At 42.4% G+C, this 26,486-nt stretch overlaps 1 protein-coding gene and 1 long non-coding RNA gene across 20 annotated transcripts in view, besides 1 other annotated feature; one reads left to right on the top strand and one right to left on the bottom strand.

The window, feature by feature from the left end:
* Positions 1 to 26,486, top strand: part of WIPF1 (WAS/WASL interacting protein family member 1) — a 123,340-nt gene that overhangs the window by 87,766 nt on the left and 9,088 nt on the right. For 15 of the 19 annotated variants that reach the window (NM_001375835.1, XM_047445756.1, XM_047445755.1 and 12 more), the window contains 4 exon segments: positions 9,537 to 9,625; positions 13,709 to 13,838; positions 19,768 to 19,944; positions 22,702 to 23,472. In NM_001375835.1, the coding sequence (NP_001362764.1) occupies positions 9,575 to 9,625; positions 13,709 to 13,838; positions 19,768 to 19,944; positions 22,702 to 23,472 (1,129 nt within the window). In that variant the 5' untranslated portion in view covers positions 9,537 to 9,574. 19 annotated transcript variants of the gene reach the window in all.
* On the bottom strand, positions 7,422 to 19,921 carry WIPF1-AS1 (WIPF1 and CHRNA1 antisense RNA 1). Its single transcript, NR_199010.1, has 2 exons — positions 19,719 to 19,921; positions 7,422 to 7,675 (listed from the first exon to the last, which is right to left on the bottom strand). It is a non-coding gene; the product is annotated as a WIPF1 and CHRNA1 antisense RNA 1 (long non-coding RNA).
* Positions 16,964 to 17,073: a silencer, noted in NCBI's record as "silent region_12127". NCBI's record gives its function as "represses an Ori minimal core promoter by ATAC-STARR-seq in GM12878 lymphoblastoid cells {active_cell/tissue: GM12878}" and the evidence as "EXISTENCE:reporter gene assay evidence [ECO:0000049][PMID:35858748]".

Below are 26,486 nucleotides of genomic sequence, written 5' to 3'. Positions count from 1 at the left end.
AGTTAATTATATATATATATATATATATATATATATATTTTTTTTTTTTTTTTTTTTTTGTAGAGATGAGGGTCCCACTATGTTTGCCCAGGATGGTCTCAAACTCTTGGGCTCAAGCTATCTTCCCACCCTGGCCTCCCAGAGTGCTGGGATTATAGTCATGAGCTACGACACCCAGCCAGTATGATTTCTTGAGGTGCTTTTCCGGCCTTGGGAATCTGAGATTACAAATGTTTTGCTTTAAATGTCACAGCAACAGTAAATATCTTTAAAACTAACAATCTCAAGTAAGATATTTTCCTTTTTAAGTCTTTTCACTTCTTCAGAGGTAAACTTGGTGACACTTCTGCTTATATCATAAAGCTGTACTTTCAATGATAAAATGAATACAGTATATATCAAGTGTGCTGACATATATGCTGTGTGTGTATGTGTGTGTGAGAGAGAGAGAGAGAGAAAGAGAGAGAGAGAAACAGTGGCACATCTTAATCCTCTGGTAGAACTAAATGTGGTGATAGCGATTTAGGCAGATTTTAGCTTGGAGATTTGAACCCCTTAAAGAGATGGGAAGTATGGGAGAAAACCTGCTACTCTTTAATTATATGGATAAAATAAAAATGTTTCCTTTCCCTTTCCTTCAGTTAAATAATGACAGGTAGGCGTGTCATTCAGCTCACCTTCATTTTCTCACTATTAAAAGGGTCTTCGATGTCTGTGAATTTGTATTAATTTTAAAATTAAATGTGCACAATAGTGGATTAAAAAATAATTTTACTTCATAGCAACCTTTATTTCCCTAGCAGTACTCTTGCAGTAAAATTGTGTCCAAGCTCCTAGCCAGTCTTAGTGATGTTCGAGATGCTTCAAAATGTCTTCTTTGAAAAACACCTTTCCTACTCCCCGCCAAAATAAATCACCTCCTTATCTAAAAGAACTATAAAAGAAGCATTTCTAGGTTCAGCAGACTTAAATTGACATTTACCATTAAGAAGACAACCTAATCAGACGTTGCTGAAGTATTGTTTTTCAATGATGATTGACTGAGAAAAGAGCAGTACATTTTGAGAAATGAGGGATTCTGTGTATGGCAAGCGTGTGCTCCACATTCAGCTCAAATGGAGACTAACAATGCATAAGAACCAACTGGGTGAGGCTGCTGATTTGCTAATAAAGCTGTTTTCCTCTTCTCTGCCTTTTGCTTCCTCTGGAGTCCAGCTGCCTTTTCTGTTTCCCCTCTTGTATCCATGGCTTATTGCTCTGAGCAAGGACCTTCAGCTTGGAGAGAGGAAGAGTAGCAATAATAGAAACGAACCTTTCTGCAAAGGTATTGAAAGTTTCTAAAATGGCCAGACCACATGCTGGGGGGAAGGGATGGTAGAGCTGTTGCAGTGACTCGCGTCATAAAATAGAAACTCCAGGCAACTGCAGCTGTGAAAAGATTGTGTTAAAGAAACAGGATGACTGTGGTTTACTGCGAGCATCAATTTTCCTGTTGAGCATTTTTTACAGGAAGTTGAAGAACAAAGCCAAATTCATCTTAATTAGTTCTAATGGTTTTCAGATCTTAAATACATCCAGCTAAGTTTGCATCATGGAGGAGTATCTAAAGAATAGAATCAAGAATAATTGAGTAGGAATCCCAAAACGACATGCTTTTTAAAATTCACCGTCTTAGCAGCAATTTGAGTTTGCTCGATGATTTTATTTTTGCAGGGTGACTTGGAGTGGATTCACTGTCTTTGTAATGAATGCCCTTGCAGTTATTTTTTATGGTTGTAATAACTCAATATGAATTTAAAAACCTTTTCTCAGGAAAACACTTTTGTGTTACATGTATTATAAATTTTGTTCTGTTAATATTTTTTTGTCAAACAATTGTGTGTATATGTGTATGTGTGACACAGAGAGAGAGAGGGAGAGAGAGAGAGATGTACATGTACTTATAAGCTGGAAGGACATGTATCAAAATAACAAAGAGTTACCTCTGGTTATTACCCCCAACCCTTTTTCATATAAAAATTAATTATTATTCAGTGCTTCCTTTAGTGGTTAAATACAACTTCAGTGCTTTTTTTTTTCATCTTTGTATATTTTTGTATTCTCTACAATATAAAAGAAAAAAAAGAAATCTTGAAGAAAACAACAACAAACAAAAAACTAACCTGAAGATGCCAAAAGCACTCAAGAAATACATAGATGAAAATGAGTTAAGAGCATTATATATAAAGTAAAATATAAATGAGTTCAGGCATGGTGGCTCATGCCTATTATCATAGCATCTTGGGAGGCTGATGCGGGTGGATCACGTGAGGTCAGGAGTTCAAGACCAGCCTGGCCAACATGGTGAAACCCCATCTCTACCAAGAATACAAAAATTAGCCAAGTGTGATGGCACACGCCTGTAATCCCAGCTACTCGGGAGGCTGAGGCAGGAGAATTGTTTGAACCCAGGAGGTGGAGGTTGCAGTGAGCCAAGATCGTACCACTGCACTCCAGCCTGGGCAACAGAGCCAGACTCTGTCTCAAAAAAAAAAAAAAAAAATCAATAAATAAATGTAAATAAAAATAGAAAATAATGAGGGCAAGAGAGCAGTTGGATTTTTGAATCTATCCAGTTATATTATTTCTGATACCCTCCCCCACCCCCAGCAAATAAAATATTCCTCTATTGATTCAATCTTTTTGGGGAAAAGAAGTTTAATATTCCACCATTCATTTTAGGTATGATAGTATTTAAGGGTTACTTTTAGCAACATTTATAGAGCAAAATGCTTTATATTTTTGAATAGTCCAAATTAATGATAAATGTAATTGGATAAAGCTGCTTCTTATCTTCTCTAATAGAACCCCTGCCCACTTGGGATTAGAGACCGGCCTTTGGAGGATTGTCAACTGTGTTCACTGGGGACTATTAGGAATCACTCCCCACCTCATGTCATTCTGTAGTGTGGGCCCTAGGCAGTGCAATCTAGAATTAATTGTAAGTTGGCTATGAAACTAAGAAACAGCTTATTTAAATAACTACCCCACTTTCTTGATCCCAAGGAAGGCAATCATTTTACATTCAGGGATGAGTCTGCTTTCCTAGATGAGCACATTGAAGAAGAAACCCTGAGTTTCCTGGGGCACGTCTGGACTGAACTGTGAGCTATGGTTGACCTCTAGTTGGCCATGCCATTGAGGAGAATGTGTCCCCTGTACTGTTGGGAGTGGGCTGAGCAGTTCTCTTTCTCTCACAGTGCTCGTTGTAGCGAACATTGCATGTTTAACAAGTGAGTCGAGGCTGCAAGATGCCCTAGTTGATCTGGGATCAGTGAATGTTGTCTAAATGTAAGTGTTAAACCATGATGTTGACCTAATAGCATTCTAGTAAGACAAACGATGCCAGCCATTTCATTCACAGAATGAACTAGGAAGTCCAGAATTTCTAAATGTTGGGGTGGTGTGTGTGTGTGTGTGTGTGTGTGTGTGTGTAAGCAACAAAGAAGAAACAGTAATTAAATTTTTAAAGTCATTTATGCAAATTATTTCACTCTGTTCTCTCAACCCATAAAGCCAGTTCCTTACGAAAGGGTTATTGCTAGATCCCTCCCCTTACTTCAGCTATTTTCACCTAAAATTTCATTATTTTTGAATGATTCATTCACTTATTAAATAAACCTTTGGCAGTCACTTACATACTCTAGGGTTCTGGCTGATTTTTAAATTTTTTAACGTATGACAATCCAGAAATATCTTGCTGAGAAATCAGTTGATGGATAGTTTATTCAAAGGCCATTATCTTATTGTTTCCACAATGGATAATAGACAAACGTATGTTGTTAAAACCATGTGTATTAATTTGCTAGGACTGCCATAATAAAATACCACAGCCTGGGTAGATCAAATAACAGAAATTTGTTTTCTCCCAGCTCTGGAAGCTGGAAGTCCAAGATCAAGATGTGGGCAGGTTTGGTGTGTTCTGAAGCCTCTTTCCTTGGTTTGCCACCTTCTCACTGCGTCTTCACTTGAAGACTTTCCTCTGTGTGAGCACATGCCTGATGTCTCTTCCTCTTTGTATGAGGACACCAGTCAAATTGGATTAAGATCTCACCCAATGGCCTCATTTTAGCTTAATCACCTCTTTAAAGACCCTATCTCCAAATACAGTTGCCTTCTGAGGTCCTGAGGGTCAGGAATTCAGCATATCACTTTTGCAGGGGACATAGTTCAGACCGTAATACTGTATGTGAAAACAAAAGCCTTTTCTGTCCCTTGAGTTTTCTTTGTGTTTGTAGAAGTCAACACACCAAGTAAAGATTTTAGAAAGTCTGGCTTTTCTATCATGAAAGTTACTTAACATTGAAATTATTCTTAAAAAGAAATTAATTCTGAAAAGTGTGACTTCTTAAAAGTTCATTGCTTGGGTTGGGGTGGGGTAGGAGGGCAAGGCCCAGCAAGTGGGTAGGCATGTGATCCGACACTACTGAGAGCCCAACTAGTCTGGGAAGCCGGACACAGGCACAGCAGATTCTGATGCAGGAGATGACTGACCACACTGGGAAACTGCTGCTGAGTCCCTTCCCTTCTTGCGTCTCTCCTGCACCCGAATCAGCTGCCTTTCCTGCCATGCTCCCATCTCCAAGGGAAGAACCAAATGCTGGGAGGCCCAGTCATCAGTCAGCCTCATTCCCACCCAGGCAGATCCACCCACAGCCACTGAGCAAAGCTGTGGCCCCTCAGACTAGCCTCCAGGTCCATCCCTCCTCTGCCAGGCACTCAGCAGCTTGTACCAGCAGGACCCATCCTCACCCTCTGAAGGACAGAGCTAAGCCCTGTCCACTGACAGCTTTGCTCCCCCAGGCCATGCTGAAAGCCTTGCACACACCATTTCATTTAATCTGCTCAGCAACTTCCCATTTAACAGATGGGAAAAACAAATTCCCATCTGAATCTGCCAGGTGGCAGAGCAAGGATTCAGAACCAAATTTGCCTGACCAAGGTCTCATGTTCTCCCTTTTTCATTCTATAAACCCACTGGTAAAGCCCAAAGGACTCCTTTTTTTAAAAAATTTAATTTTAATTTGTTTTTATTTTATTTTATTTTATTTTTAGAGATAAAGGGCTCACTTTGTAGCCCAAGCTAGTCTTAAACTCCTGGGCTCAAGCAGTCCTCCCACCTTGACCACCCAAAGTGTTGGGATTATAGGCATAAGTCACCACTCCCAGTCCCAAAGGGACCCTTTTGTGTCTACGTTTAAATGCATAAAATAAAATACAGAGAATTACAAAGGAAACTAATTTATTAAAATATGTACTTCTTTATTAATGGTTTAAACAACAAGATCTAGCAATGGATCTAAACGTTGCCAGCATGTTGAAAATTGTTGGTGTGTAGTTGTAATATGATGTGAAATATCACGTGAAAACTATGGGTGAAAGAATATCAGATATTATGGTTTGTGGCCTGCATTCATAATCAAAGGAAATGCTACATTTCAGTTAGTGCTTAGTAGAAATAATATGTACTTTTTTTTCATACAAGTTCATGAACCCTTGAATTCTATCCACAGACTCTGGGTGTGAGGATCCAGGCAGGAATGCCTGGTCTGTTAGGATCCGTGCTCTAGGGCCAAGGCCTTCAGTAAGATCTGGCTGTGGCTCTGATGTGGGCTGTCAAGTCCATGAGAGGAGGGAAGCCCTCCTCTCCCAGGGCCTTGGGGCTCTACTTCTCTGGGGAAGTTGGAGGCTGCCAGGAAAGTAAGTTCCAGTCTGCAACACTAGCAAGCCCCTCTGAAATAGGGCTGATTCTTTTGCCCAGATCTCACAGTGCGGTGGGGTGATGCTGGGAGCCCTTCAAGTGGCAAGCACTCGGCTTGTTTGTGTGATACACAGTTCTTTCACTGCATATATATTTAGTAAGAACCCTACTTTGTGCCAGGTATTGGCAAGACCCCATGGAGTCCATAGGCTGGTGGAAAGACAGCCAAGAAGTGGGCCTGGTGTGGCCGGTGGGCCCAGTGTTGGGGCACACGAGCTTGGTCTTTGATCCAGGGGCTGAGTGAGGTGGCAGTATTGGAGTCTGGGGTTTCTCACACACTTCCCTTGAGGCCCCAGCCTGGAGAAGTCCAGACCGTGCCCAGCAGTTGTTCAGCTAGAAGGGAGGAGAGAGGACATGGCAGCCTCCCTCATCTGTGTTACCATTGAGATTGGAAAGGGACAGTTAATCTGGAGGGGAGTGAGAGATGGGGCCAGGGAAAGCAAGCCATGCAAACAAGTTCGCAGAGGAAGAGAGGAAAGAGCACTTAGTTCTGCATCACCCTCTAAAAAGTGAGAGCCCTCACCCGTAGACCCTCTCCCCACTGTCCATCTGAAGTGGCCAGGAAGGAAAGGCAGCACTTCTTTCAATACCTCAGACCCTTTAATAGCATCTTGCTCCCTGAACCTTGTTTTTGCCTGCTAATTTCTGCAATCTGGCCTTGGCTCTGGCCCCAGCCATGACTGTTGCCATTTCTCCCACACTAGCCCTCTGGACCATGAAGTTAACACGCCCTCCCTGGAGCTGTCATCCAGAAGTTAATATACAAGTCAGTTAGTGCACAGACAGTACTAAAACAGCAGCAACAGAGAATTGTAAAATAATTAAGGAGGCCTTTCAGGGTGGCAGCCCCTGAAAGGGTCCCCATTCCACAGTCTGCCCCCTAAGCTGTGCAGGACAGAAGTTCAATTTGATCTCTGTTACGAGAGCCGAACTCATGACAACCATACCCATAAGAGGTTCCTGTTAGTTGACCAGAATATCCACCCTTTCCTAGATATTAGGATCACAGAATGACAGAAAGTTAATCGGTGAACGTGGAGTCAGACAAAATAGTCTTGAGGGATTTTTCATCAACCAAGCACGTGGATGCACTGTTCCCACAGCCCATCTCTTGGGCCCACCGGGCAGACCAGGCTATCCCCCTTCCTTGGTAAGCCTTTCCCAACTCTGATCATACCATTGATTTGGCTCCAGCATCTTTCGCAGTAGTCAGGCCTGAATCAGATCCCTTTCGTTCCTGCTGGTCCTAGGAGACGTCTGACTCCAAGGCCTCTGAATGTGCCGCTGGAGATGCCCCTTGATGGAGGACCCCCTAACACAGGCACCCAGTCCTGCTCACAATGCCCATGTGGCCCTATGGGTGACTAATTGATGTCATGCCAGAAAGAGCAATTTAAGAAACAGACTTTAAAAGAATCCTTGCCTGAGACAGTCTCTTACTGAAAACAGATTCCAGCCTAGTTAACAGGTGAGCTGTGGCACTAATTCGCCTGCCTGAAAGTGTTTATCAGACCATTAAAAGGGCAGTGAGTGAGTGAGGCAGTGTTATCCAGCAGAAGAGCAGGAAGCAAAAGGACATGACTGAATGAATTGCTTCAGGGTGTTTTAGGGAGTGATTTAATTTCTCTGAGTCTATCAAATGAGCACAGCGATGCTGGCTTCCGCTGTCTTAGGAGTCAGAGACCACGCAAGGATAGAGCCCTGGATCCAGCAGATTCTCCATACATGAGAGCTGCTGTTGCTGCTGTGGAATTTAAAATTTTCATTTTCTAGACCGCCCACTTTGAATGGGACTCTTCCGAACTGTCTTAATTCTTGTTTCCCGGCGGCTGTGACAAGTCCAGCAGTGTCTTTTTTAGCTTCTCCAGTCCATTTCTGTTCACAGAAAGCAAGCCATTTAGCATTATCTCAATAGAAAGTATTTGTTTAGGTTTCAGTTTTCCACATTAACTTGTAGTGGTTGAACTAAATGAATATTTTAAATTCTAAGAAATTGTTTTTTGCAATTAAGGGACTATTGGGAGTTTAAAAAGCCTGACACAGTGGCTCACACCTGTAATCCCAGCACTATGGGAGGCTAAGGCAGGAGGATCGCATGAGGCCAGGAGTTCAAAACTAGCCTGGGCAACATAGCAAGACCCATCACAACAAAAATAAAAGATAAAAATAAATTAGCCAGGCGTGGTGGCATATGCCTGCAGTCCTAGCTAAGCTACTCAGGAGTGAGGCAGGAGGATTGCTTAGGCCCAGGAATTTGAGGCAACAGTAAGCTATGATTATGCCACTGCATTCCAGCCTGTGTGACAGAGCAAGACCTCATCTCCAAAAAAAAATTTAAAAAAATTTTTTAAAGAAATATAATTCTGCAGTTTAAAATTTGGGACACATGTCCTGTAGAAATAATGTTATTCAGGTGGCCAGTGACCCAGACTGCCCGCTGGCTTAAGGCTCGATCTCTACATAGGGCTTTAGTGCGTATGAATCACCCAGGGATCTTGTTAAAATGCTGAAACGAATTCAGCTGGGGGCAAAAGGGACTGGGAGTTGACATTTCTAACAGCTTCTGGGTGGTGCCCACGCTGCCTATCCAGGACCACAGTTTGTGTAGCAAGGATGGGGTGGGAGAAGCTGGCATTGCTTAGGGATGAGAACAGTGGGTGAGGCGTTGTCCTAGACAGGGCAGAGGGAGCAGGGGTTCTAGTGAGGCGAAGGAACAGGACTGCAAGGATTAGAGGAAATGGGGAGAGGGCTCCTGGCTGGTGTAACTCACCAGGCACTTCCTGGCCATCGTCTCTCCTGGCCCTGGTGTTTGCCAGGCTGCCCTCTCCGCCCTGCCCCCTCACCCACCTGGGGTCCCTAAACTTTCCTACCCAGCTACGGAATCTGGTCTTCCCTTTGTTTTCAGAGCAAGCACACTCTGCAGAAAGGCTCTTCTTTTTTATTTTATTTATATATAATTTTTTACCCAAACAAAGCTAAGACAGGCTCTTCTAAATGAAATGCATTTCTGGTAAACAGCCTGGGAGTCCTAGGTCTGACTTCTCATGCCCGCTCTGTTTTCGCTTAGATCCTCTGAGGAAATGCTAAGGAGCACAGAGATAGGGATGGCTGGTCTTTGAGTGCTCCAAACATAAGGTTGACCCCCCACACGTCCACCCCGCCTCAGCTGCTGCTCCCTGCTTTCCACCTGACATTCTCCATGCCCTCTCCCTGGAGGACTAGGAACTTTGAGGGCGGGACTAGAAGTAGATTCATTTTCATATTCCTGCAGTGCACACACAGACTTGGCGAATGTCAGGAAGAATGGGAGGAGAAAGCCAGAGGGGGTGGGAGAGCATGAAAGGATTGTCATGGAAATTAGCGAAGAGGAGAAGCCACTTGAAGTGAATTTGTTTTCAGTGAAACTTGGCCAGGATACATCCTAGCAGTTGTGTGAGACCTTCCTGCTTAACTGGGCCCACCTGGGTCGGTCATGGCCTACTGTAGTGGGTGGGGGAATGGAGCCGAGTAAGGCACTGGATGTGGCCTCCATTCTCTCCAAGCACCTCGGGTCAGAAGCCCCTCTGCCGGGATCCTTCCAGAACAGTAATGTTTTAGCAGTGAGGTGTAAAGGTAAGCCCATCTCTTCTAAGAGTTGAGCTAGGTGGAGCTGTCACTTTGGTGGGAAAGTGAAGACAGATTAGGACAGTATTACTAAGATTACATCTAATACATGATCGCATTCTTGTTTTTCCAGATTTATCAGCAAGACTGTTGAACGCATAACTGCCCAAGATGCCTGTCCCTCCCCCTCCAGCACCCCCGCCGCCCCCGACGTTTGCACTGGTGAGTGTCTCCTCCCCAAACACTTTCTATGCATAAAGCAAGCCAAATGAAGCCAAAACCTGGCGTGCATGTGTTTGTATTAAATGTGTTTGCATTCTGGCTCACATGTGATACAACAGGCTTTCCCAGTGCCCAGGGTAAGCCAAATCCTGAAACCCAGCAAATACAAACAACACGAAGGGTTTTGTTTGTTTAAGGTCTCGTGTGATGGATAGTACAAGGGTGGAATGTGGCTGATGAGGTGTTTTCTGCCGCATCTGCGCAGGGACATGTGCTGGCCCAAGATAGGGTTTGCAGGATCAGTTCTGAGACCAGTGTGCACTGTTTTCATTCAGATGAACTCAATGTCTGGCCTTTAACTTCTGGGCTGGACGGTCTAGAAACCCAGGTCTCTGCCTGCAGTGCATTCCATTAAAGTGTCTTCCGGTCTCACTCCTTTCTTTTTTTCTGCCTTTTCCCCTCTTCTTCCCAATCTGTTTTTGACAAATATCTCCCTCCACCACCTCTGCCATACACATTCACATCCTCCTTTAAATCTATACTTGCATTTAGGCATTTAGATGTTTATTTCCTGAAAGAATTTCTTCAGTGGATTCATCCTGGTCTTTTTTTTTTTTTTGAGTCTCGCTCTGTCACCCAGGCTGGAGTGCAATGGCACGATCTCAGCTCACCGCAACTTCCACCTCCCGTTCAAGTGATTCTCCTGCCTCAGCCTCCCAAGTAGCTGGGACTAAAGGCAAGCACCACCATGCCCAGCTAATTTTTGTATTTTTAGTATGGACGGGGTTTCACCATGTTGGCCAGGCTTGTCTTGAACTCCTAACCTCAGTTGATCCACCCACCTCGGCCTCCCAAAGTGCTGGGATTACAGGCGTGAGCCACTGTGCCCGGCTCATCCTGCTCCTTTGATAGACCTCTTTGGGGAAGTTAGTGTGCCCTCTTCAGGAATTTGGCAACTCTCCACTTGGTCATATGGAAAGGCCCCAAGATACGCTCTGTTACAAAGCCCTCTCCAGCTTGTGAAGCCTTCACTGAGGAGGAGCCTCACACTGATGGTTCCTTCATTTTCACCATTTTCACATGGGGAAACTGAGGCTTGGAGAGAAAGTTTCTTGCCCCAGGTTTCCATGAGACACATTTATATAACTCATCTGAGGTTGAAACCTAGTGAGAAGAACTGCCTATTAATTAGCTTATTGTTACTCAGAGTGTGGCCTTCCAACTGCTTTTTAAGAGTCCCCAAAGTGATGAGGACAAAAGTTGAAAGTAAGCATTTAGAAGCATTTCTAGCAATTTGACAGTAGTTTTCTGTTTCTAAGATTGGATGTTGTGTGTCTTTTTTAAAAAACTAATTCATTTTTCTAATAATTCATTGTTATTTTACAAAAGCGTCAGTTCCTGATGAAAATATTTTTCAAAAGACTGGTCCTTGGCCAGGCGTGCACTTTGGAAGGATAACTTGAGCCCAGGAGTTCGAGACCAGCCTGGGCAACATGGCGAGACCCCCATATCTACAAAAAAAATGTTAAAAATTAGCCAGCCAGACATGGCGGTGCGTGCTTATAGTCCCAGCTACTCTGGAGGCAGAGATGGGAGGATTGTTTGAGCCCAGGAGGTCAAGGCTGCAGTGAGCTGTGATTGCACTACTGCACTCCAGCCTGGGTGATAGAGCAAGACTCTGTCGCAAAAAAACAAAAAACAAAAAAAAAGTTGGTCCTTCACATGGGTAAGTTTGAGAACCTCCAATCTGGCTTACATAGCAGGATTCATTTATCCATGTTTCCCCAAAAGTGTGGGCTATAGTGAACTGACTTAATAAAAAATATTAAATAAATAACACAGGTGGTATGAGAAGATGACAAAAATCATGAATCTTATACCAGAATGCTTGAAGTTTGGGAAACCTTGCTTATCTTATCAACTCATTTCTATCCGTTGTTACCTAATTCAAAGCAAGATTTTGGATAAATAGAATATAGAGATGAAGAAAGGGAAAAGGTGGGTTGGTGGCCATCATAGAACACTGCCCTTGTGAAACAACATAATTAAGGGCCCTGAACATGAGAGAAGTTAGCACCCAGGGAGGTCAGCTGTCAAAATAAATTTTGAGGCAGAACAGGAGGCTACTGAAGGTTGCTGACCCAAAACTGTTAAGAGATCCAGTGTGACACATCACTTAACCTCTCTAGGCCTCAGAGTTTTTTCATCCTTAAAATGAAGACAGCAGGTAATGTTAAGAGCTCTTTTCCAGGACATCCAAAGTATGTTAAGTTGAAAACAAACAAGTTGCAGAACAATAGAGGAGAATCCCATTAGCAAAAGCAAACTGTGTATGCAGAGAGCATTTCTGGAAGGACAGCAGAGAAACTTTTAACAAGCATGCTTCAGCGGTGTGTTGGGGCTGGATGGGGAGGGGCATTTTAGAGCCCACATTTATCCTTCTATCAGCTTGTAGGGAAGGCTCTTGACTGCCAGGGTTTGAATCCCAGCTCCTCCTCAACTAACTAGGTGCCTGGGGCAAATGATTTAAACTCCCTATACCTCAGTTTCCTTGTCTGTAAAATGGAAATAATAACTCACAGGGTTGATAAGGGCTAAATGAAGTAATACACATAAGGTGCTGAAAACAGTGCCTGGCACAGAGTATATGTTAACTATTATTATCATAAGCAAGTAATACTTCATCATTTAGTTATTTCAAGATGCTTCCAACTTTACCACTGCAATTCTGGTTAGCCTACTTCAGGGTTTTTCTGAGTTCTTCCTTTGCCTCTAACTCTGCTAATAAAAGGCTGAGTTAGGCCAGGAGCAGTAGCTCGTGCCTGTAATCCCAACTACTCAGGAGGCTGAGGCAGGAGGATCACTTGAGCCCAAGAGTTCGAGGCTGTATTGCATGATGATCACACCTGTGAATAGCCACAGCACTCCAGCCTAGGCAACATAATGAGACTCTGTCTCTAAAAAAAAATTGTTTTTTAAAGGCTGGGTAAGGTATTGAGCCATACATTTCCCCAGCTTTTCCTCCTGTGGCCCTAACTGGCAAATCTGAAATCATATCCCTGTCAGAAGGGCTGGGGCCAGCCTAGAAAGGACCTGTGGGTTTGGGGCAGCCAGACTCTCCCTGAGACAGACAAGACCTAGCCAGTTTCCAAGTGTGATAGACACAGGCACACAGGCAGGTGCCTACATCTAAGTCCATTTGCTGGTCTCTTAGTGTCCCCAACTCCCTGAAGGAACAAGATCCCAATTTCATAGTAGGTAGGGATCTTTCCTAGGAATTCTGGAAATATAAGAAAATAATCAGACATGTTAAAGCAGCATTTTTGTCCATTCCACAATTTCCATGAGCTAAGCTTTCATCAGAATTAAACATCAGAAACACCTCATGCCAACAGGACATGAGGGAACTTTTGAAGTAATGAAAATATTCTATATCTTGATTGTGACGGTGGTTTCACAACTGTATATGTTTGTCAAAACTCATAGAGCTGTAACTAAAAAGGGTGATTTCACTATGTGTAAATTACACCTTAATAAATCTGACTTAAAAAGAGAAAAAAAGCATCTTTGGCAATATACACAGAGGGAATTATTTTCTAGAACTTTAGTGGGTTTAAAAAACATACAGCTGACTCTTTTTGCTAGAGACAGTTTTTCCCTTGCACTGGGGTAGTTCTAAAAGATGGGAAAAGGAAGTTATTCTTCAGGGTACCCTCTAGTGAATGACGTCTGGTAATGTCCTGCAGAATCCTCCCAGACTTAAAATTCTTTTCTCGTGTCTAGTCATCTCACCCTAACCTGGCCCTGTTAGTTTCAGTCAGATTGTGGTCTGAATTTTCAGAGACTTTAATCAAGGACTGACTCTTCCTCCCTTAAAAATGAACATAATTTATTGCTGCATCTGCTTCCAAACGTCTGGATCTTAAAAAGAAAGATATGGGGTCTAAAACTTGTCGAGAATTTACAACCTATCACCAAGAACCTTAACAACAAGCTTCCCGTACCCAACCTTTCCCAGCCGAGTGTTACAATGCATGATTTTAACCCAAGAGATGACTACTTGTTTGTATGGCTCCCTTTCAGGCCAATACAGAGAAGCCTACCTTGAATAAGACAGAGCAGGCTGGGAGAAATGCTCTCCTTTCTGATATCAGCAAAGGGAAGAAACTAAAGAAGACGGTCACCAATGACAGAAGTGCACCAATACTGGACAGTAAGTAAAAAAAGGCTATCTACCATGGAGAGGAACAGTTTATGGCCTAATAATCAACCCTACCCTCACCACTCAATTTTTATTTTATTTTATTTTTTGGTTAACAACAGCTGCAAAGCTAGCAAAATAAGGGACTGTATCACTCCCTGTAGGCCGCAGCTTTGGCTTGGGTTCCCCTCTAATGCTGCAAGAAGCCAGTATAATAATTCTTTGTCCAAGACATACACAGCAGCAATTCTCTGCATTATTCACAACACTTTCTGGAGATTAACCCATTGCTCCTGGCACCACAGATGAGGAGGCAGCATAAAATATGGAAAGAGCCCTAGCCTTGGAATCAAAAGCTGTGGGTTCAAGACCTGGCACATCCATCCTGTACCATCTCCAAGCCTTGTTTTCTTCATTTTAAAATGGAGATGATAATACATGTTCTATTGACCTCACAAGTTTGTCATGAGCTTCAAATGAGATAATGCCTGTAAAATGTTTTGTTGTCTGGAAAGTGTAATTCAAGTGTAAGATACAATTATTAGGAGCTTAGAGAGAAAGAAAATGAGGTCACAACTTCAGTTATCAACCCACCTAAGTCTGAGGTACTTTCTGGAACAAAGCTACTTATTAACATTTACAACAGGACAAAAAATAATCCATGACTAGAATTCTACTGGCAATTAATAAGTAGATCTTAAGCCTGTCTCCTCACATTCCTAGACCCTTCCTTTGCCTGCCAGATGTCCCCAAGATTCATCCTAGACTACAGATCCCATTTGGACGGAACAGGAAATAGACTGACCTTCCAAAATCACCAGATGGATCTTTGTCAACAAGTGAATAATGAGGCAGAATCTTTGCAAAGTAAAGGATTAGAAGTGCTTCAGGGAACTTTCTGGGAGAAATACCTAATGAGTAGAGAAGGAAGAAGAAGGATCAGAGTTAGGTGGACTACTGGTTTGGGAGGAAAAAGGAAAAGTGAAAGACCTAGATAAGGCCTTTGAATGTTGTTCTGTTACCGGGCAAAGTGCTGCGAGTGAGAATGCACTGCTTTCAAAAAGGAACTATGGCCGGGCGCAGTGGCTCGCACCTGTAATTCCAGCACTTTTAGAGGCTGAGGCGGGTGGATCACTTGAGGCCAGGAGTTCAAGACCAGCCTTGACAACATTGTAAAACCCCATCTCTACTAAAAATACAAAAATTAGCCAGGTGTGGTGGCACATGCCTGTAGTCCCAGCTACTCGGGAGGCTGAGGCACAAGAATCACTTGAACCAAGGAGGTGGAAGTTACGGTGAGCTGAGATTGTGCCACTGCACTCCAGCCTGGGCAACAGAGCAAGACTCTGTCTCAAAAAAAAAAAAGGAACTAAGGTATTTAACTCTTGACACAGTCTGACTTGTAAGTCAAAATGCCCACAAAACGAATGTGGTTATAATATATTCCCTCTAATCCCTCAGCCCTCCAAGCCCTCCAATAGCCATCTGAATCATGGTCCCTGGTATGAGGCCAGAGGAGCTGACCTCTAGGACAGAGGCCTGTGGTTCTCCTCACTGCAAGAGGGAGCCTAGGGCTCTGTTGAAGGAGGCTGGACAGTCTAGACCTATTCCTGAATCCACTAGTGGAAACCTTGAAGAATTGTATTCTTCAATGTCCACTTCTCTTATTTAATGGAAATAGTGTTAGTCCTTCTCTCTTCCATGATGTTTAATAATGTGCTTTCCTTGATGGAAGGAAGATACAGTCCAGTGCAGGCCCTTGTCCACACACTCAACTGGACACCTATACTGCTGTCACAAGCTCTTTGCAAGCAGCAGTGTTTATCCACAGTTTTGTATCTGTTTGCATGTGAAACTTCCCTGGGCTGTATGTCAAAATGTTGACCATGGTTATGTGTGATAACTCAGCCCTGTCCTACAGTTTAATTACTGAAAAAATAATCTGAAAGCTTAATCCTCAGCTTTAGCTTCTCTTTCTGAAAGATGGACAGATGTTGCAGGTTAAGAACACTAATGGGCCAGGCACAGTGGCTCACACCTGTAATCCCAGCACTTTGGGAGGCTGAGGCAAGTCGATCACCTGAGGCTGGGATCACCTGAGGCATGGAGAAACCCCATCTCTATTAAAAATACAAAATTAGCCGGGTGTGGTGGCGCATGCCTGTAATCCCAGCTATTTGGAAGGCTGAGGCAGGAGAATCGCTTGAACCCAGGAGGCAGAGGTTGCAGTGAGCCAAGATCGTGCCATTGTACTCCAGCCTGGGCAACAAGCGTGAAACTCCATCTCAAAAAAACAAAAAAAAGAACAGTAATGGGTGATGTCTGATAGTGCAGGAGTCCCTCTAAAGTTTCAGTACCATGTAAACGTGTCCTGTGAAGTGCAGTATTCCAAAATGTGTCATTCATCAATGAATAGTGTTTGAATGACAAGGGCGATGTTAATAGCAAAATTTTTAAATTTTATATGGAAACAATTTTGCATACACTTCTAGAAATTGTTAGTCTTATATGATTTATCCTGTTAGGTGAAGTAATTCTTGTCAGTTATTATCAGATTATTTCTTCCACAGCAGAGCTACCATAAGCATCTCAGAAAGCTCCACATCTAGAAAAGATACAGAACTAACACAAATTTATGATAAACCTAATCCAGAAAATGGAAATAAAAATGAATAAAAGTGGAACTCAGAAAGCAGATAAAATAAGAGATTCAAAGCATATTTTCTAAAATTAAAGTAGTGTAATAAAGTTATCTGCTAAAATGTTTTAAGATATTAAAGAAAGTACTTTTCTAAGAAAAGCATATATTTATTCAGGAAACCTCAATGAGCAAGGGAAAAGATAAAAACTTTATTAAATTACTTTCTCTCCAAAAAGTTTTGGAGCCAGATTATTTTATTAGCAAATTCTTTCAAATTTTAAGAAACAGCTAATTCAAATGCTGTATAAGTCATTCCCCAATATATTAAGAGATGGAAGGCTGTCTAATAATTGTAATGAAATTGGCATGATCCTAATGTCAAAACTTGACAAAGGCAGCACATAAAAAAAGAAAGCTGTACATTAGTGGTTTTCAACTGAGGGTGATTTTTGCATTCCAGGGGATATGTGGCAATGTCTGAAGACATTTTTAGTCACTACTTTGGGGGACAGGGAGGGCTGCTACTGACATCTAGTGGGTAGAGGCCAGGGATGCTGTAAACATTCTGTAAAGAACAGGACAGGACAGCCACCCACAAAAAAGAATTATCTGTCCCAAAATGTTTATAATTAAGAAACCCTATTATGGACCACTTATCATCATAGATAAGAGAACACTAAAATACCAAAAAACAAATCTAAATCAATCAGATGTTACAAGAATAATTCACCAACACCAGGGTTTATCCCCCTTTTTTTTTTTTGGAGACAGGGTCTTGTCTTGTCACCCAGGCTGGAGTAATGGTATGAACACAGCTCACTGCATCCTTGACCTCCCAAGCTCAAGGGATCCTCCCACCTCAGCCTCCCAACTAGCTGGGACTACAGGCATGCACCACCACATTTGGCTCATTTTTTGTAGAGATGGGAATCTCACCATATTGCTCAGACTGGTCCTGAACTCCTGAGCTCAAGCAATCCACCCGCCTTGGCCTCCCAAAGTGTTGGGATTACAGGTGTGAGCCGTTGCACCTGGCCTATCCCATTTTTAATGTTAGAAAGTCTATCCATCATATCAAATAAAAAAGACCATCAAAAAGCCTCAGTAGATCTTGAATAGGCATTTGATAAAATTTCATGCTATAATAAATTCTTGTAAACCTAAAATAGAAGGATCCACAGACTGAATATTTAGAAAGGGAAAAAACCTATTTCAAACCAATAATTCATATTAACTTTGAAATATCAGAGGGATTCTCATTAATATCAGAACATGATTGCCTTTAGAAACGTTAATAATTTACATTGTTATGGAAATTTACCCATCAAAGTAATTACTTATATAAAACAGAAATAAGACATACAACTCTTAGAGAAGAGGAGGCTTTAAACTGTCATTATTTGAAGACCATGTGCATACTAGAAAATGCAAGATAATACATTTTTAGTAAATTTTATTTAGAAAACATAGCAAAGTGGCTTATTAGATATTAAATACAATTTCCTGGTGCCAAAAATAACCAATTACAAAATATAACAGGAAAAACATCCCTTTCACAATTTCAGCAAACAAAAATACATTTGAAGTAACCCTAACAAAAAGCATGTGTAATGTATATCATAAAAACTAAAAAACTTTGCCAAAAAATCCAGAAGACATAAATAAATGGGAAAATATACCACATCTCCAAATGGAAAGTCTAAATATCATAAAAGTATCAGTTCTCCCAGATTAATTTGTAGATTTCATATACTATTTATCAAAAACTCAACATAGTTTTTTGGGAAGAGGACTTTAAATAATGTTTAAGCTCATAAATACAAACATGCATACATACATAAATTAAGAGATAATTTTTTTAAAGAGGGTATAAGCATGGCTTAAACACAACTAATTTGCACTTCTTTGGACAAATACCATTGCATTAGTATCAGTTTTCTATGCCTTTCAGAGTGATAAGATACTGTGGCTCAAAGACAATGGAAAGTAACCCAGAAGACTAGACAGAATACTCAGTAATCTTTTTGTTTGTTTGTTTGTTTGCCTCCCATCAAAATCTTTCACAATTTTTTGCAGATAAATTCAAAATAAAACAAGATCTTTATACCCTCTCAAATTGCAAAGAATGTTTAAATTACTAAAGCCTACTATTGGGCTTCATGATATTAAAAAATTAATAGCAATCTAAAGGGCCATCAAATGAGTAGTTAAATAAATTTTAATGTAATACATTCATGTTCTACAATACAATAGAATCCTTTAAACTCATGTTTTCAAAGAGTATGACACAAGAAGTGCTAACAAAGTGTTAAATGAAAAAAGCAGGCTTAATACTGCTTAGTGAATTTGTTCTTAATTTTAAGAAAAAACACATAAAATGAAAAATACTGATGGGAAAAAGTATAACTCAATTGTGGATATTTGCTTAGTGTTTTTTTTTTTTTTTTTTTGCTGGAGTGCAGTGGTGCAATCATAGCTCACTGCAGCCTCAGTGGGTTCAAGTGATCCTCTCACTCAGCCTCTTAAGTAGCTGGGACTACAGGTGTGCACCACCATGCCTGGCTACATTTTGTTGTTGTTGTTTATTTTCGTAGAGACGAGGTCTCACTTTGTTGCCCAGGGTGGTCTCAAACTTCTGGGGCCTAAGCTATCCTCCAGTCTCAGCCTCCCAAAGTGCTGGTATTATAGGTGTGAGCCACTGTGCCTAGCCTGGATATTTGTATATTTGTGAAATTATGAGATATTTTATTTTCTTTTCTTTTTAACTCTTTCCTTTCTTCTCGCCTTTTATGGCATCTCCTCCTCCCTTGCGACCCTCTTTCTTTGAAGATCCTTTTTACTGAGACAGGGTCTCACTGTCACCCAGGCTGGAGTGCAGTGGCACAGTCTTGGCTCCCTGCAGTCTTGACCTCCCTGGCTCAAGCGATCCTCCCACCTCAGCCTCCCAAAGTGCTGAGATTACATGTGTGAGCCACTGCACCCAGCCTGAAGATCCTTCTATTTGCCAAATCTTAGGATACGGAACAAACAGATACTGACCCATGTGGCAGCCAGTCAAGTGGGGAGTGTGGGGACAAATCATCCTTTATTTTCGTTTCTTCCACCACTGGGCTTGGGACTGCCTGGAGCGGGCAGTTCTGACTGAGCTGAGGGAACTCTTAAAATCCTGCATTTTAATGAAGAAATCCCAGTTGTCCACTGGAGGCCGAGAGCCGGCCAGCTCCCTGTTGTACTGTTGTTTTATGGTTTACCTGGGCCAGACCAGGGGGCATAGTCTGTCGGGTGTCTCTTCTTCTACAGAACCTAAAGGAGCTGGTGCTGGAGGCGGTGGTGGTGGCTTTGGTGGAGGCGGCGGATTTGGCGGAGGAGGTGGTGGCGGAGGCGGTGGAAGTTTTGGAGGGGGCGGACCTCCAGGTCTGGGAGGATTGTTCCAGGCTGGAATGCCGAAGCTGAGATCCACGGCCAACAGGGATAATGGTAAGGAGAGTTTCCCTGTCTCTGAGTGACTGAAGACAAGGCAGAGTTTGGCAGTTTGGAGGCTGGTCATAGCCTCTAAGGCTCTTCGCCCTTATTAAAATATTGTACATTGTTTTAAATATTACCACTGTTTTATAAGAGACTCAATTTAGGCTTTATTATTATTATTAACCAGGATCAGACAGCTACACAGAACTATGAAATTTTCACCCAGTGTCTTTGGGGGTAACCTGTACATTTTTTTTTTTTTACTTTTCTAAAGGGTTAGCTGGAGTGGGAAGAAAAGGGAGGAGCAAATAGAACTTGCTGGCCCTGGAAATCTGCCTGGTGACCTGACAGATTCAGCTTTCTTTGTGAGGTAGCCCAGCTGTCTAGTAGAGTAAATACTTGTGAGCCGCTTTTCAAACACGATGGAGCACATCTTGTGGAATATGATTACAAATCTCACTAAATCTGAAAAAGTGTTTTGCATGACAGATATTTGGTATTTCAGTGCCAGTGGTTCTCAGGAGTCTCTGCAGGGAGCCATGGACATGAGTCCTTCAGGATTGTCTATGAACCTGATGGTAGAAAAAAACTGAACTTGCTCATGAATGCCTAGATAAAAAACTTTGCAGAGGGCATGAGGCTCTCTCCCAGCTACTACAGAAACTCAAGAAATTTTACCATAAAACTGCTTTTGTAATGTTGATCATGTTATAATAATTTTCATTTTTAGACCTTTTATAAGATGTCCCCTGGGAAAGAATGAAACTCTCACATTTACATGAATATGGAATCACTGAATCCTCAGGGTTAGCCTACTATTTTATCACTGAATGGTCCAAATCTAGAGAGAAACTCAGTCACATGAGAGGTTCTATCTTGCCAGACCACCATTTAAATTTGAATTTAAATTTATTTAAAACTCACCAAAAGGATTTAAGGCAGCTGATAAATGTATACATTTAGTACTTTAACAACAGGTGAAGAAATTAAGGCAAAAGACAAAGAAAAATAAAATAATAAAATGGGCCAGGCATGGTGGCTCACACCTATAATTCCAGCACTTTCACAGGTCAAGGCAGGCAGATGGCTGAAGCCCAAAAATTCAAGAACAGCCTGGGCAACATGGCAAAATCCTGTCTCTACTAAAAAAAAACAAAAAGTTAGTGGGCATGGTGGCTCTTGCCTGTAGTCGCAGCTACCCAGGAGGCGGAGGTGGGAGGATTGCCTGAGCCCAGGAAGTTGAAGCTGCAATGAGCCGTGATTGCACCACTGCACTCCAGCCTGGGCAACAGAGGAGGCACTGTCTCAAAAAAAAAAAAAAAAAGAAGAAGAAAGTTCTCTCTTAAGTTCATGATACTCCACTGTATACATCTGTCCAAATGCTTCTTCCTGTGCCTTAGATAAAATCGGAACCCCTTCTGTCCTGCAGGGCTCCTTGTGACTAACCCCTGCTGGCCACTCAGGCTCCACTTCCCATGGATCTCTCCCATTCTCACTGTGCCCCGGGCACATGGGCCCGTTTTTGAACTTGAAGCTCTTTCCCACCTCAGGGCCTCTGCACCTGCTGGCCAACCCTGCCCAAAGTGCTGGTCTTCCTCATCTTTCCGTGGCTGACTCCTTCTTGTCAGGCCTCAGCTCACATGTCACATTCTCAGAAGAGCTGTCCCCAGCCACTCCATGTACCCTGGCCTCTCCAAGCACTCTTGATCTCATCGGCCTATTTTAGTGTCTTTTTAGTACATATAATTATCTGAAAGTATTTATTTCCTGGTTTATTGTTTATCTCCCCCCACAAGAATGTAAACTACAGGAATGCAGAATCTTTTCTATTCTGTTTACTCCTCTGTCTCTAGTCTCTAGATTAATGGCAGGCGCATAGCAAGTGCTCAAAATTATTTGGTACACTTATTAACTCATAAATGGGTAGATTTTTTTTTTTTTTTTCAGAATTACCTTGAGTTCCAAGAGATTCTGGGATGGTGGTTTGAAATTTTCCATCTCTTTGGTTCCCCCTTTAGTTTCTCCCTTGTTGAACCAGAGCAGTTATGGGATTATTCTGTCCTGCCAATACTGAAGCAGAGGTTGACGTGGTACCAAAAAAAAGTTGTGTAGTTGCCTGCTTCTTTGTAGATGAATTCCATCCACTGGTGTCAACTCTTACAATTAAACTTTACTGATGGTTCTTTTTCCTTTCTTAGTTTTTTCTTATTGCAGTCATAACTCTTTTCTTATAATTTCCCCTTACAGTTTTCCACTTTTTTTGGGGCATTTCTCTTCATAGGGACTAGATAAGCCCTCACATTTGGAGATTTACATTGGGATAATTAATTTTTTCACCTAAGACAGCTGACTTAGTTTCAAAACTGAGAGGTACAAGGGCTGGGAGACAGAGATGGTGATGAGGAAAAATGAAAATCATGATTCTACCAATGCCATCTTGTTCTTGTCCTCTCATAATGAATAGGCATCTCACCAGAACTCTCGCCCACTTCATCCTGGCTCTTGCCTATACATAATGCTAAGAGATATTTGCAGAATCCTTTTGAAAGCTCATAGGCTGTAGAAGTTGGGACTCGCAGGTAAATAGAGCTATGGTCGATTTTCTGCTCCCAAGAAGGACCAACAAAACCCAATTTATATAAATAATAGTTTCCTGTATTTTATAGCCCTCTGAGGAAGGGACTTCCAGTCACTGGGAACAGACTCTAGCTCTCTGATTTCTTCAGGGTTCCTGATTTCCTAACTGATGTTTGTTTTCCTGTTCTTCAGATTCTGGAGGAAGCCGACCACCATTGTTGCCACCGGGAGGAAGATCCACATCTGCGAAACCCTTTTCACCCCCAAGTGGCCCAGGGAGGTTTCCTGTGCCTTCTCCAGGCCACAGAAGTGGTCCCCCAGAGCCTCAGAGGAACCGAATGCCGCCCCCAAGGCCCGACGTGGGCTCAAAGCCTGATAGCATTCCTCCTCCAGTACCTAGTACTCCAAGACCCATTCAATCAAGTCCGCACAACCGGGGGTCCCCACCAGTGCCCGGAGGCCCCAGGCAGCCCAGCCCCGGGCCCACTCCTCCCCCTTTCCCTGGAAACCGCGGCACTGCTTTGGGAGGAGGCTCAATACGTCAGTCCCCCTTGAGCTCCTCCTCGCCCTTCTCCAACCGGCCTCCCCTGCCGCCTACCCCCAGCAGGGCCTTGGATGACAAACCCCCTCCACCACCTCCTCCAGTGGGCAACAGGCCCTCCATCCACAGGGAAGCGGTTCCCCCTCCTCCTCCTCAGAACAACAAGCCTCCAGTGCCTTCCACTCCGCGGCCTTCGGCCTCCTCACAGGCCCCACCTCCGCCGCCACCTCCCAGCAGGCCCGGGCCGCCTCCTCTGCCTCCAAGTTCCAGCGGCAATGACGAAACCCCAAGACTCCCACAGCGGAATCTGTCCCTCAGTTCGTCCACGCCCCCGTTACCTTCGCCAGGACGTTCAGGTCCTCTTCCTCCCCCGCCCAGTGAGAGACCCCCACCTCCAGTGAGGGACCCGCCAGGCCGATCAGGTATGACAAGACGTGGAGTGAGTTGCTTCCAAAACCCAGCCTGCCCAAATGTACCAATAATCCTGTCAGTCAAGATAGTCTAACAAAAGCAGGCATAAGTAAACTCAGACTGCTTTGTGCTTTTAAGTGGCACACGACACGTGTGATCGTGACCTCGTGTAAACCCCGGGGGAAAGTGGGACCAATATTTCTGTTGGTGTTTTAGAGATGAGGACACTGAGTAGCTAATAAAGTTAAATGGTCACGAGCTAGTTAATAAAGAAGAGGCAAGAACTTTCATCTTCCATCTCTGAAGTGTACTTGCCAGTCCACTACCCTGCCTCCCTAGAGAGAATTTCGGCGGTCTTAATTGGGAAAATAAGTCCCCACCTCCCGCAGGAGGGCTCTGTTATTCCAACAAGAGGGGAAGTTCTTCAAGAGCTAATGAACTTCTCCTGTACTTCTCTCTTCATTCGCCAGGCTTTGAGGCCATTTCCCTATTCATTAAAGACTAATGTTTAAAAAGTCCATTTTGCTCTTTGTAATCTCTGGTACATAAATCCCTTGGAGAATCAAATAAAGGTATAGACTATCTTTACAAAAATACTCAGGCATAAACTCAAAATTTGCCTGCTGTCACATGGCTTGAAGAGCCTGCTGAAGCCCATCTGAGACCCTTCCAATGCCCCCATCCACAGTTGAGAAACCTTGATCTGAGGGACAAACTTTCAGAGTATGAAAGGAAATGTGAGGATTGCCTAGAGTTTGCCCTCTCCGAATTATAATAGGCATTTTTAGTAGAATATGCTCACTTGATGCGTTTTATAGTGGTTATGGATGAACTCAGTAGAACCACCCACTTTTAAAATTGAATCTCATCGTACAGACCTTATTATGTCTGGAAATGGGGCATTTTTTTCCTTTACGCAGAGATAAGAGACCTTTGACCCTGTGACCTCAGGAACCTCATAATCACCATTCTTTAAACTTGCTCACGTACTGGAATCATCTGCGGAGCTTTAAAAACCACCAATGCCTGGGTCCCTTCCCGGAGTCTCTGGCATAATTGGTCTGGGGTGCAGACTGGGAATCAGGATATTTAAAAGCTCCCTGGTGATTATAGTGTGCAGCAGAATGTGAGAACCACACCTTGAAACCATTGTGCCATGGCCCTACCAAATGGATGAGTCAGCAGATTAAATCTTCCCCAAAATATGACAGGCATTGACATATAACATTTATTATTTCTTTTGATTACGTAAGTCATACTTGTTTATTATAGAAATACTGAAAAATATAAAGAAAATTAAAATTAATCCTTCTACCACCACTATCCAGAAATAATCATTGATAACATTCTTTTAATGTGTCCTTTCAGTCTTTTTAAAATGCATGTTTTTACAAACTTGGTATCCCACTACATATATTGTTTGCTAATTTGCTTTTTATTTAACAGTATCTCATTAATGTTTGCTGATATGATTATTCTACAGCCTGACTTGTAACAGCTACCTAATATTAAATCCTACAAATGTACCTTGATTTATTTAACCAATCCCCTCACTTGGTCATATGGGCCATCTCTAGATTTTTCCTGTTGCAGATAATGCAGTGATATATTTTTGTAGCAAAATATGTGTACACATCTCTGTATTTCCTTTGGATTAATTCCTATAAGTGGAATATCTGGGTCAGTGAGTGTGCATAGTAAACTATGGATTTCAATAGGTACTGCCAAATTGCCTTCCAGGAATTTCCTACCAATTTACATTCCCACAAGGAGCGTATGAGAGTTCATCAAAGGCCCTGTGTATTCTGAGTTGTTTGGCTTCAGTGTTATGGGGAGTGGGCCTTGGAATCTAATAGATTTGGAGTCAGATCCTGGCTCCTCCACTCAGTCTTCTGATGAGCTTTTCAAGCTTCCAAAACCTCTGAGGCCTTGTCTCCTATCCCTGTACCTCTCAGAGTTGTTATAAGAATTAAATGAGACAAGCATGTATAGTGGTTATCTTATTTCCTGGCATATAGTTATATTCAATAAATGATCATTTCTGTTATTCTGCCAGTGGGAAATAGAAATCTGTTTTCTTTTCTATTGTGCCTGCCAGGATTTGGAGCAGGGTGCCACAAGGTTGGAGAGTTAGGAACATGAACATGACCATTTACTTTAAAAAGAAAATGAGATGAAGTTACGTAGTACAGGGCCCCATAATATTGGAAGTTGAGTTTGCATGTAGTGACAGTTGTGTGGTGGTATCACCAATGAAGTTAAAACCACAGCAAATGAGACACTTTTCCTCAGTAAATCAACTCTTGCTGCCTGGGACTCCAGCAATGACAAGCAGATAGGGTAATAAATAACCACTCCCAGGTGAGGCACTGAAGACTCCTTGAGAGACCAATCAGGGCTGGGCAGTGCCTCCCACCTCTGTAAAATGTTGGAGCCAAGACTTTCTGTCAGGGATATCTGCAGTGGGCAGGTTGTTCAGTTTAAGGTTCCTAATTGGATTCTGAATCTATAGCTAATAAGATATTTATTTATAGCACCTTAAGACATTGTATTCACATAAAATGTCAGCATCTTACAAGCGGAACACACTGCTGAAGAGCAGGCATAATTACTAAGGCCATTTTGATTTACATTGGAAAATGCTCAAGTTTTTGGTTTTGTTTTTTTTAATTTACTTACTACTCAAATAGCCCCTGCATTTGGAGGATAGGAAAAGCAAGATGGTTTTCTTTTGTATTATCAAAAAAATTTCCTTGAATTTTTCTTAGAAACTTAAAAACTTATGGTTATACCATACTGCTACATTTTTTTAAAAAATGGTTTCAAGTACTTACATAGTATTTTTTATTTGCATTTTCACTAGTTTTTCCTGGCAGCAGTGCTGTGAGACAGGTGACCATCTGGCACTCTTTTACAGCTAGGAAACCAAGTTCCATAGGGTACCAGCTTGCTCAGGGTCAAGATTCACATTAGCATTTATAGCCATGGATGTTGATTAGCTGTTTGTCACTCCCTGTGTTTATCT

The sequence above is a fragment of the Homo sapiens genome, chromosome 2 (genome assembly GCF_000001405.40).
Source record: "Homo sapiens chromosome 2, GRCh38.p14 Primary Assembly".
Lineage (NCBI taxonomy): Eukaryota > Metazoa > Chordata > Mammalia > Primates > Hominidae > Homo > Homo sapiens.
The sequence above is the reverse complement of the archived record's forward strand: the minus strand, read 5'-3'. Positions and strand labels throughout refer to the sequence as shown.